The sequence below is a fragment of the Homo sapiens genome, chromosome 3 (genome assembly GCF_000001405.40).
Source record: "Homo sapiens chromosome 3, GRCh38.p14 Primary Assembly".
Classification (NCBI taxonomy): domain Eukaryota; kingdom Metazoa; phylum Chordata; class Mammalia; order Primates; family Hominidae; genus Homo; species Homo sapiens.
Genome location: NC_000003.12, coordinates 156,680,732 through 156,694,623, shown reverse-complemented (window position 1 = coordinate 156,694,623; position 13,892 = coordinate 156,680,732). Strand labels below are relative to the sequence as shown.

Here is a 13,892-nt window from a genome sequence, read left to right as displayed (position 1 = left end):
ACTTCTTCCAGAGACATGAGTGATTGTTTCCATTGGGCTTCTAAAATGCTAAGTGTAACACTTGATCCAATCTCCATAAGCCCAAGAGCCAGATATAATCAAAAGTTATACCAATTCTCATGTCGTGAAAATTACTCCACAGGCGGCAACAGGTCAAAATATTTCATCTCTATAATGCAAGATTCTGTGGAAAGCATTTTATTTATCTGATAATAGTGGTATGCTATCTTTGGATTTCAAATTAATGGAAAGAAATAAATTTTAAGAAAAAGAGAAAAGTTTTCTTGTATCAATGAGACTCAATTTTATATTCATAAGCTGTTTGATTATATGCATAGTTCTGCCTAGTCATTGTTGTAAAGAAAGAATAAAAGAATACAGGAAGAAAAAAATAAATTTGAAAAATGTACTTGTCAACAAAGAATCTGTAAATACCTCGGGATACTCTCTCCATCCAAAGTGGTCCCTACAGAAGAATTTCCAGACTGTGTGGTAAATAGAGTTGACATTGCTAGAGGGTGGTGTGGACAGCCTTCGTAGTTGGTCAAATTCAGTTGTTTCATACACGTTCATGGCATTCAAATCTGCCCAAAATTCTTGTCCTCTAAAAAAAAACAAAAACAAAAAAAACCCAAAAACCTGTTAATAAATTTGTAAAACAGAAATATCTAAAAATATCATTGGACATTAAAAATACATAGCATAGCCTGTTGTAGAATTTTCAAAACTTGCTTTACTTGGAGTAAAAGCATATTTATTGCCGGTTGTTTCCACAGCATCCATTTCCTACATGCCCTTTCTAATCAAGACCAAAATTTCTAGGCCATGGAATTATAGTAAGATTGATTTAACCCCACAGCACCACTGGCCTAACCCAATCAAAATAAGCCCACCCTCCACTCTACAGTGGGCTGGCCTCAGCCAATCAGGGAGTCAGTTTTACTATGATGCTATATGTAGAAACTAAACATAGACAGAAAATTTCTCTTCAAGCTTGACCTTTTTTTCAGAGGCCATCAGTTTACTTGAGCCAATACAGGAATACACAGTATTGCCTGATCAAAGACAGAATAAAAGAAGGGAAAAATAAAATGAATCCGGATAAAGCCAGTATTAATCCACCCAACATCAATATTATCTTTTATCCTGTGGGTTGAAAAATGTTGGCAAAACATGAAGAAAAAAAAAGTTTGGATTATTATGAGGTTTAGCTTTGAGAATATTTTGGTCATCTTATTATCTGGTCGACTGCTGCTGAATCATTCCTTTACAAATGTCTCCATACTGTTGGAGGGAAGTCCCACTATATGAATCAGACTCATTTAATAATTTATAAAAGGTAGTCCAATAAAAACATTTGTGTTTCCTCTTTTATGGAACTTCACCTAGAGTTTGAAACATTTGAACCATTATTTCAAATAACTGGCATAATGGTCATTATACTCTTCTCTCTTTTCTTTTTTGTGTATGTTTGAAAGTTACTATAAGAAAATATAAAAAATTAAATATATGATAACAGCACAGATATTGTAGCATAGTGTACCACAGATTTCTAAATGGATGTCTACAACACAGGAAATACTCTAGATCTACAGGCATTCAGAAAGACTGGTACATGTGAAGTCTAGGTGTTGAGACAGATTTTCCCAATAATTAACTTATTTCCTTGCTGTAAATTAGGATTTTGAAAAGGATATTAAATTTGATCTGTGGTTGCACCACTGCACTCCAGCCTAGGCAAAAAGAGTGAAACTGTCTAAAAAAAAAAATTTGATCTACGGGTTTTGCTAGCTAGCACATTTTCCAAAATCTGCTCTTAGAATACTTGTTTCAAAAACTATTAACAGGTATTCTGTGCACAAAAGATTCTGCAGACAAATATTTGAAAAACAGATTATACAAATATTTGCCATCCTCTATCCCAATGTTCACAATTTATGAATCAGGTTCTACACTGAAAAAACAACCATATAACCAACTGATGAAGCCAAAAAGTATGGAACTTACAAAAAAGCAGTATACTCCTTTAAAATTCCTAAAGATCTTGCCAATAAACCCCAAACTTCTTGCTTAGTAAGAGTACTAACTAGTTGGATATGGTCTCAAAAACAACATATAATATTAATTAAGTATGAAATAAGATAATATAATGTAGTTTAAAATAATATTTGGCCACTGTTTTAAAATGATTTATGGTAAGTAGGAATATTTAATTCAAATAGAAAAATGTTTCTGGGAAATCCTAAAAAGTGAAACAAACACGACAAAACAAAAAAACAAAAAAAGTCCTGTAAACTGGAACTCCTATGCCTAAATTAAACTTCATATCAAGTTGCCTTAAGCAATTTTCATTAACTTTAGGAGAATCTGATGTTATGATTGGGAAGTGAGATAAAAAACTTTCTCCCTGTTAAGATTGTTTCAAGTTTCTAAACATATTTTTCCCCCTTTAAGCTTATCGCCCAGCAACTGTTCCCAATTATGAGTCACAAATCCTCAGTATTTCCTTTAAGGAGTTCTTAGAACAGCAGTCATTATGTTAACATGCATTATAATATAAACAGCCAATGCTTTTTGCTGTTTAGTGTCAGATTTTATTCTGGACATCACTCTAGCAATTTCTGTTTAAGCCTGTATTACTGAGACTTCATAGATAATGATTTGCATGAGAAAGACATCTACAACTGCAGCTTTTGCTACATTCTCTGTGCATGTCAGTCCTTTGGGCATTATGAAGTTTCTACGACAAATCCTAATTTACTACAATCAACTGTTCTTTGGATTGATGTATCAAAGTACTGTTTTAGCTCTATTTGATTTTCAATATGCTTTTTCTAAACTTGACAGAGACAAAAATCATAAATTTGAAAAACATTAAATTATCTTTTTGTAAGATTAATTTTACCACCTGCTCTCCCTTAAACAGGGAATGCTTTAAAAATCTAAAGCCAAGAGGTTTTTTTCTCCACAATCTGCATCAGCATAAATGTGTGCAATATGGGTGCCAAATGTTCAACAGCCACCACATTCTTCTTTATCAAACTATTGCTTCCTATTATCAGAAAGCAATTATGAGTCATCTATGTATGATAATCGTGATGGTGGGCTCTACTGGGCAATACACGAAGAATTAAACAGATGTAGTCCCTGTCTTCCAGGGGCGTTAAGAAAGGAATAACTAACAAAATGTAAGCCAAAGAAGCAGTACATCTGCCTATCTAAATTCACCAGTGGCAAGTACATTCAGGAAATAAGAGACAAAGAATAAACATGCAGCAATATGGGAGAGGAGGTGGTTATTGGCATCCAGTAATGGATAAAGGTCAGGAAAATTAAGAGGTTTTACTTTATCAATCCAAGATAGCTTTCTGCAAGAAGAAGAATCTTAGAAGCAGTTTAAATAACAGGAAATATCACTGTAAGTAAAGAGCTGTAAGAACAAGGAAAAAGAGGTCTCCAAGCACTTTGCTTCTTGAAAGACGGGTGGAGACAGGATTGGTACTAGTTGGAAAAGGAGACCTTCTAAACAGGGGTATCTGAGAGATGAGGAAATGGGAACCTGTAAATTCCTATAAGGGGGTAAAACAAGCAATGTGAGAGACTTCAGGCAACAAACTGTGGACGTTTAAGTCCAGGGTGTCAGAGCCTTAAGATATAAGGTTAGGAATTTACAGTATTGAGCAGATGAAGTTAGAGTCAAAGCAGTAAATACAGGATGTTGGAAACTGAGCAAGAGAGACAGTGCTAGAGATTGGGGGTGTCTCTGTAAAAGCAAGGTGCAATAATCCTTGTGGATGAAAACCCCATCTGGTCTAAAGGCATCTCTACTGAGGGACAGCCAAAAAAGAGTATGGGTAATAGCCACTGTACAGTAGGATTTATATCTTGCTATTTGTATCAGATGGCTAAATCCATCAGTATTGTTTTATCTAAGATACAGCCCTATCATGAACCAGAAGAAAACAAAACCTTGTGAACAGACTGCTGATTTTTGCTATTAAGGGAAGAATGAACTTGAACCGCTGAAATATTAACAATTCTGTTTTTCCACATCTCACCACCACACATCCCACTATAAGAATCCATATACAACACTAATTTAAAATGCTGAAAAGGACGCCCATTCTCATAATTTAGATGCTTTATAACAATGGTTCTCCTCTTATTCAACAAATATCTGCACATACCAATTAAGCCAACATTTTCCGACATACATTACCAATGCATAGAGCACCAACACCCACATTAAGTCAGAAAGTATGCCGCACATATTTCTTTAATAAGTATACTAATATCTTAGTATTTAAGATCCTGAAAAGAAAGTAAAAAGGACCTATGACATGAATAATAAACAGTTGGAATGCAAACCAAAACTAAAAAAGAAAAAGATGCTAAATGAAACAGAAAATAGTAAGAACACGACTTCTTTCTCAGATAAATAGCTCTTGGGTTTATACATTTGGGAGCTCAGTAAAGAGTGTAACCATTTTAGGCAGTTTCTCTGTTTATAAAGTGTTTGTAACCAAGAAGAAAATGAGACCAAAAAAAAAGCAAAGTAATTTAAAGTAGACACATTAATTTGGTACTGGGCTCTGCTTTGGCCATAAGAAAATGAAAAAGGCAAAATGACACAGAGCACCAATCTAGTGGGAAAAGGAAACCTTGCAGCATAGTGTGAAGTGTGGCACAAAGGTGGTCAGAAGCAGATGGCTTACCTCTGCTGGAAAAGGTGTCAAGAAAGGTGGTCAAGGGAGTTGTTCCAGAGTGGATAAAATGTGAGCCAGGTCCAGCTACCAGGCAAACAATGGGAGGCAGGACACCACATGCGGAGTGACTCCATGTGTAGAAGCTAACCAAACAAGGCACACAAGAATAGTGTGCAAGAGGCACACCCAGTTCATGTGGGAGGTTAGGGTATATGTATCTATGAGAGATAAGGGATAAAACTGGACTGGATAAGTTGGCTTGGGCCAGATAATGAAGAGCTTTGTTTACTGTGTTAAGAAGTTAGGTCTTGATTCTATGGGCAGTAGGAAACACCAGTGAATTTACAACAAAGTCCAGACTTGCCTTTATAAAGGTCACTCCAGTTGTAGTGGTATAGAAGAATGATTTACTTATTTATTTTTGGCAGTGGACAGGTAGAGAAAAACCATTCAACTGCTAAATATTAGGATATTTATCAATATTATTCTATGAACAGCCATGTATAGTTATTAGAACTGCACAAGAGACATATGATGAAAGAGGACTAAGGAGGCAATGTAGGAATGAGCTGAAGTATTTAAGAGTTAGAATTTAACTGCATGAAGGATAATTACACGTGGGGCAGAAGAGAGTGAAAAGAGTCTAGGATGTGTCCCATGTTTCTGGTCTGGGTGGTTGGATAATGGTGCTATTAACAAGACAAATTACCAGACGTACAGCAGGTTTAAGTGGGAAGGTGATAGAAATAAAACATAGAACTCAGACTTTGGCATAGGTTGATTAAATACAAAGTTTTCTGAATCCTACTCTGTACAGTTTTAACCAGATCGGTTAGACTTCAGAACCTTGGCTTCCTGCCTGTAAGAGCTAACTGGTTTCTCCAAGGATAAGCCTGTGACCTCAAACTAATTAACACACACCCTAATCAGCTAGACTCACCATACACAATTAGTAGTGTCCTTTTATTTTATTATTATGATGTAAAGTGAAAATATCTCCCAACACGGAGGGTCATAATGATAGAAAGATAAAGATTAAATGCAATGTGGAGAGTACTTGAGGTTCCGCTACTGGCTTGAGACAGGCACAGCAGATGGGATATGTTTGCCGCTGCTAAAGAAATTTCACTGGCGAACAAAATATAGCTGGCTTTTGATACCTGGCTTTGATATTTCCAGGACTCATTTAGCAATGCTGGAATATCTGGCAGCTTATATCCCTTCAAATGTGTTACAAGGTGATGAGAATCAAAGCCATGGCATACACAATACCAACACATTTTGTGAAAACAGTGTAGTTATTAAACTTCAGAAAACTATGTATTCGTAACTTTCTTCTTTAGAAGCAAAACTATTGTTTATTCTGTTGCTACTTAAGATTTTTGCTAACACTGCCTCAAATAAGTAGCACAGGGCTACTTATTGCGGGGGGGGGCGGCAATAAAACTTATTCATAAATGCTTACATCCAAAGCAACATCTTTTAATACTCACCAGAGATTAAATTTATTTTTCTTTCAGTTTTTTTTTTTTTTTTTTTTTTTTTGAGATAGGGTCTTCTGTCACCCAGGCTGGAGTACAATAGTGCCAACTAGGCTCACTGCCACCTCAAACTCCCTTGCTTAAACTACCCTCCCACCTCAGCATCCCCAGTAGCTGTGACTATAGGCATGATCCACCACACTCAGCTAATTTTTGTATTTTTCTGTAGAGACAAGGTTTCGCCATGTTGCCTGGGCTGGTCTCAAGCAATTCTTCTGCCTCAGCCTTCCAAAAAGCTAAGATTACAGGCGTGAGCCACTGCGCCCAGCCTCAGAGGTTAAAATTCTACACTTAATTACCACACTATGACACTGTAAAACTATTAACATAAAACTCAGATCATGGATTTATCTGAATACCTCAAAAGATTTTTGAGTAGGTAAAAGTGTTCCCCAACTTAAGATACAATGCATTTCTTGGGATAAATTCTTGAAGAAGTGATCATTAGGCCTTGTTGCTGCTCCCTTGGTACCTCCTGAGACATCTTGGAAATTCTTATTCCAAGAAGGCAGCAAGTTAGTGAGAAGGATGCTGTCTGAAATCACATTTATCTGTGTGCCAAACCTCATGTCTGATTCATAAATCGTTAGACATCTGTAGTCTTAAAAGTCATTCTAGAAGTGAACCCAGTGAAATGAAGAGAGGCAGGTAAGTTTCCTAAATGAAAAAGATTATCTGTTTTTAAGCTTTTTAATTGTATATTCTCCAAAAGCATGTGGGGAGCTAAACAAACATAACACAGTTTATTCTCAAAACACACTGATACTAAGACATAGCCATTTGAATACATCTAGATGTTTGCTAAACCCCTAATAAATAATACCATACAATGAAGTCCACCGGCCCCAATGCAACCACTAAAAGCAAATTACAGTATCTACTTAAGGAAAAGAACCTACTAAAATATTGTTATGCTGGCTTTTTTGTTGTTTGTTTTCTATTACACAACTACAGATCAAAGCAAAGAACACAAAAACACTTTCCAATAAAATGTGGATAAGTCTAAAATCTTTCATAAATAAAAATTACACTTATGAGATCAGAAGATCTCACTGCCATCTATTTATGGTAGTGTGGGATTAAATTTTGCATCATGAAGGTACCAGAAATGTCATACAGCCTTAACTTTTATTCAAGTTTAGTCACATGTCCTAAGATCACAGAAGGCACTATAAATGAGACATACTTCTCAACCATAGCCTGATGAGAAAGTGAAACTTAATTTCTGTAAGAACAGCTGGGATAGAAGGCACAGGTTAGTTTTTATAAATTGGTAGCATGCCTTATACTACCTTAAATTATGCAATCACTGATTTTTATAAAGAGTAGATATCCCCTCTGTTAAGAAAAATATTTTTAAAACTGAGAGGTTTCTATCTTATCTCAAAGTAAACAATAAAAAATGCCTCCCATGTATTCAAGGCACAAATAGTGGTTAATTCAATTTTTTGAATATAGACTTTGACATCCCTTAAAAAGGGATAAAATAAACGTTTTTATAATTTTTTCTACATAAATATAATACTATATGTAAATGATAAAATTACTTAAAAATAAGTTGCTTTCAAATACCTCAATTCAGCACTCATTTACACATAACTACTAGTTATAGTTATCATAAAAATATTTTCTAATGCCTAGTAAGATATAAACTATTAGCTTAATTTATTTCTGCTTTGACTTTTAAATTACAAATGATACCCATAAAAAGGTTTTTACTCAGAATTTTCTATTATTTAGCTTTGGCTTTTTCCCCAATTAGTCCAGATGAACTAACTGATCAATGAAAGAATCAGAAATATACTCATTGGTGACTTATTACGTATTTGATGCTAAGAACCCAGAGAAGAGTAAACAGCTTTCAGCAGACTAGAGATTTGAATGCATACAAGCAACCTATATATAGAGAATTCATCACTCTGATAGTTCTTTAAACAAATTGCTAGAGAAAAAGACTTCCTAGAGAAAAGACAGAGAGTCTTTTTATTGTCTAGGTTTTATAAGCTATAACAAAACCTTTCAAACATCGTCTTAAATTGGTAACTTTTTCTGAGGGAGTTGGATTCTACAAAGCCAAGTTTCTATGATAGATTCAATTTTATCAATTAGTTAAGAGAGTCGAAATTATTTCTGAGTAACAAATTTGTAGAACACTTTACATAATGCTTCTGATGTCTGCCAGCATTTGGATAATCCAAATGTCAGAAAGCAAGCAAGCAAAGTTCCTTCTGTTTCACATACTTTACCCTGACTCTGTTTCACATACTCTGCACAGATTCAAGGATGTCTTTCTTTTATTAGGATGAGTAATTAAACCTTAGAAGGCAAACCCAGTGTTTATCCTGTGCTAATTTTTACTCTCTAAATGCCTGGTAATGAAAGAGCTAAGCCAGGTGACACTCAGAAACCAAAGACCAACCACAGCAGGAAATTATTTAGAGTATTTTGTGCCATTTGCCCTCTCTACACCTTGATCAGCTGCAGGAACTGTGAAGATCACAGGGTGCATGCAAGATTCTGAAAGCACATGCACTACTGCAAGCAAAGTTCACCCTTTGGTCCTCACCCTTGCCATTCTTCACTGACTGTTCAAGTGCTAGTGAAAATTTAGACCAAAGATGATCATCCAAACTCTTTGGCTATGTCGTATAAGTGGGACAATTTAAGAATTCTTCAATTAATTCAAAAAGAAAAGCTAATGTAATAAAGAGAAATTCTTGTAAGTGTGGTCTAAACATATTTTCTAATCATTACCAGAAGTACTATGTTTCAACATAAGATTACTCACAAATCCTTCCTTATACTCAGAGGCAATAGCACCAAAACAGAGGACTTCAATTTGCATGAAGAATACAAATTTACTGAACTCTTCCTCAGACAACTTAGTCATGGGAGATTCTCAATACACTCCTTACACAACTTTTTGTGGTACACATACTCGAAAGTCACTGGTTTCTGTAGAAGGTGAAAAGGAATAGTTGCTCTAGCATTCTCACTCTTGTAAGAACTTATCCTTTCATTGTGATGACCATGCAAAGGTTCTTTACTTGTCAAGTGGGTGTTACCAGTAAGTAAACAGCATAGAGCAGAGAAAGATCCAGGAGACAGACACATTTTGTTGTGTGGAAACGGCAAATAGGAATGCTTAGTTAACTCTCTTCAATGCTTGCCTTAGTAACAGTAACTAGCTAAGTCAGCAAGGAAAATTGGAAGTTTCACAAATGACAATTAGAAGTTTACTAACGTCATCAACTTCTAAAATTTGAGTTCCTAATCACAGAATTGATTATATTTAGCTCAAGTCTGCAATACTGTCCTCTTCACAGACTGAATATAAATCTTTACAAACAGAATTTATTGTACATAAAATCCTTAATTTTCAAAAATTTCAAAATGTATTTCAGAACCTACCACTTGTAATTTCAAATTCACTATTAACAAGTGAATTAATCTCAAAAATTTGAAGCTTTCAGTTACTGTGTCAGGGATTGAGGTGGATTAGGTTTAACGTTTGAAGGAAGAAATTTTAAATTGGGGTGAGTCTGTATACGGTATAATTCTCAGTCCCTAGAAAGCACTGTCATAAACAATCTATAAATATAAAAATAAGCCCTATTTAGTTTTGTTAAAGAAATTCCTTCACATCACTGGGCGCAGTGGCTCACGCCTGTAATCCTAGCACTTTGTGAGGCCGAGGCAGGTGGATCATCTGAGGTCGGGAGTTCGAGACGAGCCTGACCAACATAGAGAAACCCTGTCTCTACTAAAATACAAAATTAGCTGGGCATGGTGGCGCATGCCTGTAATCTCAGCTACTCAGGAAGGCTGAGGCAGGAGAATTGCTTGAACCCAGGAGGCGGAGGTTGCAGGAGCCGAGATTATGCCACTGCACTCCAGCCTGAAACTTGGTCTCAAAAAAAAGGAATTCCTTCACATCTAAAATGTGGCTTGTTTGCTCCTAGAAATGGTGAACTTCAGAAGTATTTTATTCCTTGTACAGTTTCTGTTTAAGGTGTTGCAAAGTAGCGGTAAAATCAAGATCTCAGGCTATCACCTATTTCAAACCCAGAATCAAAGGGAAAATGGCTTAACCTTCAGCACTGTGGTCTTTTTCAAAGATACAAAATCTCTCGAACTCACTTTACCTTAAGACCCCAATCTTATTATAAAAGAGAAACTCTCCTACTTTTACAAAGTGAGTTTCTTTCAAAACTTTTACAGTGTCCAATTTGAACTAGCCATACAAGTTGTGCCAAAATAATTATCTTGCAATTTGAAATATGTTTTTTCCTTTGCAAAAAATGATATACACATGTACTAAGTTTTCCTTCCACAAAAAGACAATTGCAACTCACAAATTGGAGACTGATAATTATTAAAGGTTGTTGGCTAAGGTTAAGAGGACTTAAGGTCCTAATTTAAATGCAATCCAGAATCATCACCATCAGACAAAGGATGCAGAATCTGGTGGTCTCAAATCAGGAGATAAAAATAAAAGAGACCATGGGAAAAAAGTCATAATCTCAAATGGCTGTATTTTTGTAGCATTCCTTGAGTAGTCAAGGTTTGCATAGACTACATACTGCTTTATCCTTTAGGAATAGCACCCAAACCCAGAATAAAACTAAGGATCACTGACCATGATTAGAAATACACAGAAGAACTTATGAAGTTTATCTTTACTTTATGGTAGATTGTAAATCTATGATCTAGAAATTCTAGTATAATAGGATAATTCTAGTATAATAGGAAATAGATTTACAGGGACACAACAGAGTTATCAGTCAAAAGTCAGCATTTTTTTTTTTGCATGCCCACTATGTGCAGAATGAAATTTTAAATGCTGAATGGAGTTACTACTATAAATTGAGCACCCCAAATCTGAAAATCGGAAGTGCTTCAAACCCAAAACTTTCTGAGCACCAAGATGATACCCAAATGCTCACTGGAGCATTTCGGATTTCAGATGCTTAACTGGGGTACTATGCAAATATTCCAAAATCCAAAATCTGAAACACTTCTGGTCTCCAAGAATTTTGGATAAGGGATATTCAACTTGTATTCCTTTTTTTTCTTACTTACAATAAAAAGTAAGAGCTTTGGATTCAACTCAATGATAAAATATATAATGTATCATGCAATTATTTTTAGGGAATGCCACATAACCTTACAAGCTATTTCCTCCAACTGTCTGATTTAAAAGTTATAAATCATTTTGACAAGGTTCATTTTCATTACCATAAATACATCAGGAAAAGAATGACCCCAACCTGAAGCCAGGTGGCAGCTGCTTCAAAAAGTCTAATCTGCTTATTGATGAAAAACCAAAAAGGGAATAAATAAATGATTGCTATTGATTGCCATGACAGCTCTACACAGATCCAGTAACTTCTCTGGGTTAGTATAGACAGAAGCCAATTAGTTTTATTTCATATGTAAATAGTAGCATAAAGAAGTACAAAAAATAATTCATTGGATTGCTTTATCCTAAAGCACAAGGCACACATTTTGAAAGTCACTTCAAACACAGTTCTTGCTTATGGAGCTGTCTTTCTCTTAGGCAGAAATTTTTAAAATAAATTTAAACTCATCCAGCTGTGTATATTCAAGAACTACCAAAAAGTCACAAGGCATAGTAAGTTTCAGCTGTTCTCCTCTCTCCAGTGTTATCAATAACACATAATGAGTTAGTTCATACATCATCACAGCTGTGCACGCCAGAGCTAACTTGGCTAATTTAACTACTCCAGTAGAGTTCAGTCAGGAGCTTGCTCTAGTTTAGCTAATTCACTATGCAAGTCATATAGGGACTGTAACAGTATATGCTTTTTATGATCATTAATATACATTTCTCTTTTATATAGAGTTTCTGTGAAGTCATCTAATGGTATTGTCCCTTGGACAGAGTTTAAAAATAGACTTCTAAGGGCAATTAGCAATCAAAATCACTCAGCAACTAAAACTATGACAACACTCTAGCCTTAAGCCTTAAAGCAACTAAAGCTCCCTCTTTTATCAGTGAGCATTAATCCCAAAAGAAAAAAACCCTGTCCTCTGAAAAAAATTAATAATGGATTCAGGGTTTGCAACTTTCCTCTTCCTCTTCACCTCCACTCTCTTTCAATAAATTCAGAATTAGAAATAATCATTGGTCACATGTGCACCTGCAGGTAGCCTCCAAAATAAGGTTTGCAGTGTGTCCCTTCTTGACAGGTGGAAATAAATAGAAAATTGTTCTGGCTCAATTTAAAATGAATGTAATATGAAACTAGTGGTGATCTTGTTTGCTAAAGAGAGATTTGCACAACCTCCATAATTTCAATTATCCACAACAGTACTCCACAGTGTGCAAGGCTCTTTTAAAACTGCTTAATTCTGCCATCCAATGTCATCGTCTACTAAGGATGAGTGCCTACACTGTTCCAGACTCTGTTTTCTTAATCGAAAACACAACACTCAATGTTGTTTCTCAACTGTATATTTGGAATTTGGAAATTCTCCAAGGCTCATCTCGTGTGCAAAAAAGAAGCCTCAGCATCTATATCTGGGAAGTACATACACACTAGTATGCAGTTGATGTTGGCAATGAACGTTTGTAGATGTACAAAAGCAAAATGAGAAAGCAAAGTGGGATTACATCATAATTTCATTACAAGGAACAAATAAGCATGTATTATTGAAATCCTTTTTTAATGTGCTTTTAGTATCTAAGCATCTTGACTAAAAAGTTGGAAAGGTCCTGTGAATTTATCTAGTTCAACTTCCTTTCCAATTTCATTCCTGAGAACAAAATGAACACTATACATATAATTTAGATTTAGGTATTAAATCCAATACATTTGCAAAGCTAAATAAAAGATTTTATCTGTACAGTTTGAAACTATGAACTTTCATCTCTGCTAGAGACCCAGAACTATGAACTTTCCCCAAGTATATCACACAATGAAGATGTTATGGATACAGAATATGATAATGATTTACCAAGCCATATAAACTACTGAAAACAGTGGGATAAACAACTGCCATTCATTATTTCTGAATCCAAAGACTGCTGGTTCCAACTTCGACATATACACAGCTGAACACACACTTCCTGGTTATGCGCAATCTGCACAGATAGACCAGCTTTACAGGCCTGACCACAGAGATTAATAGCTTTAGCCAAATAATGTGGTAACCATGTGAACCTGGGCTGCTCCAGCTTGTTTGTGAATCTCTCAGCAAGGCTCAACATGCCGTTATCTGCATCTTGTTGCCAGGAAACACAACATCGCTTTGGAATACAAGGAAAACCAGGTTGCAATGACCACAAGTCAACTTCCCAAAAGCCTAATTTTTGACACTTAGCTATCTACTATATTACAACATTTCTTCCTGTAATCTTCAGAGAACTTCACTTTACTAGTAATTTAACAGTTAATACTTTTTGCTATTTTCCTAGGACAGGACCACTTATTACCACTAACAATGTAGTAGGAGCAATGGTAATTATAATACTTCACTCACACTTTTCTTCTCCCAAGTGTCAGATAAACATTAGTTTACTTCATTAAAACTGATTTGGAAATCAAGCACCCACTGCAACTACCTCATAATACAACAATGCAGGCTTATGGGCCTATATCTATGTCTATTCTTAAGCAAA

General features: G+C 35.4%; 1 protein-coding gene across 6 annotated transcripts in view; it reads right to left on the bottom strand.

Moving 5' to 3' along the window:
* TIPARP (TCDD inducible poly(ADP-ribose) polymerase) overlaps window positions 1-13,892 on the bottom strand; it is a 32,181-nt gene that overhangs the window by 12,147 nt on the left and 6,142 nt on the right. For 4 of the 6 annotated variants that reach the window (NM_015508.5, NM_001184717.1, XM_047447935.1 and 1 more), the window contains exon 3: window positions 436-604. In NM_015508.5, coding sequence (NP_056323.2) covers window positions 436-604 — 169 coding nt within the window. Of the gene's footprint in view, window positions 1-435; window positions 605-6,923; window positions 13,521-13,892 lie in introns of those variants that run through there. The other 2 variants (XM_047447936.1, XM_047447937.1) reach the window with 1 other exon arrangement.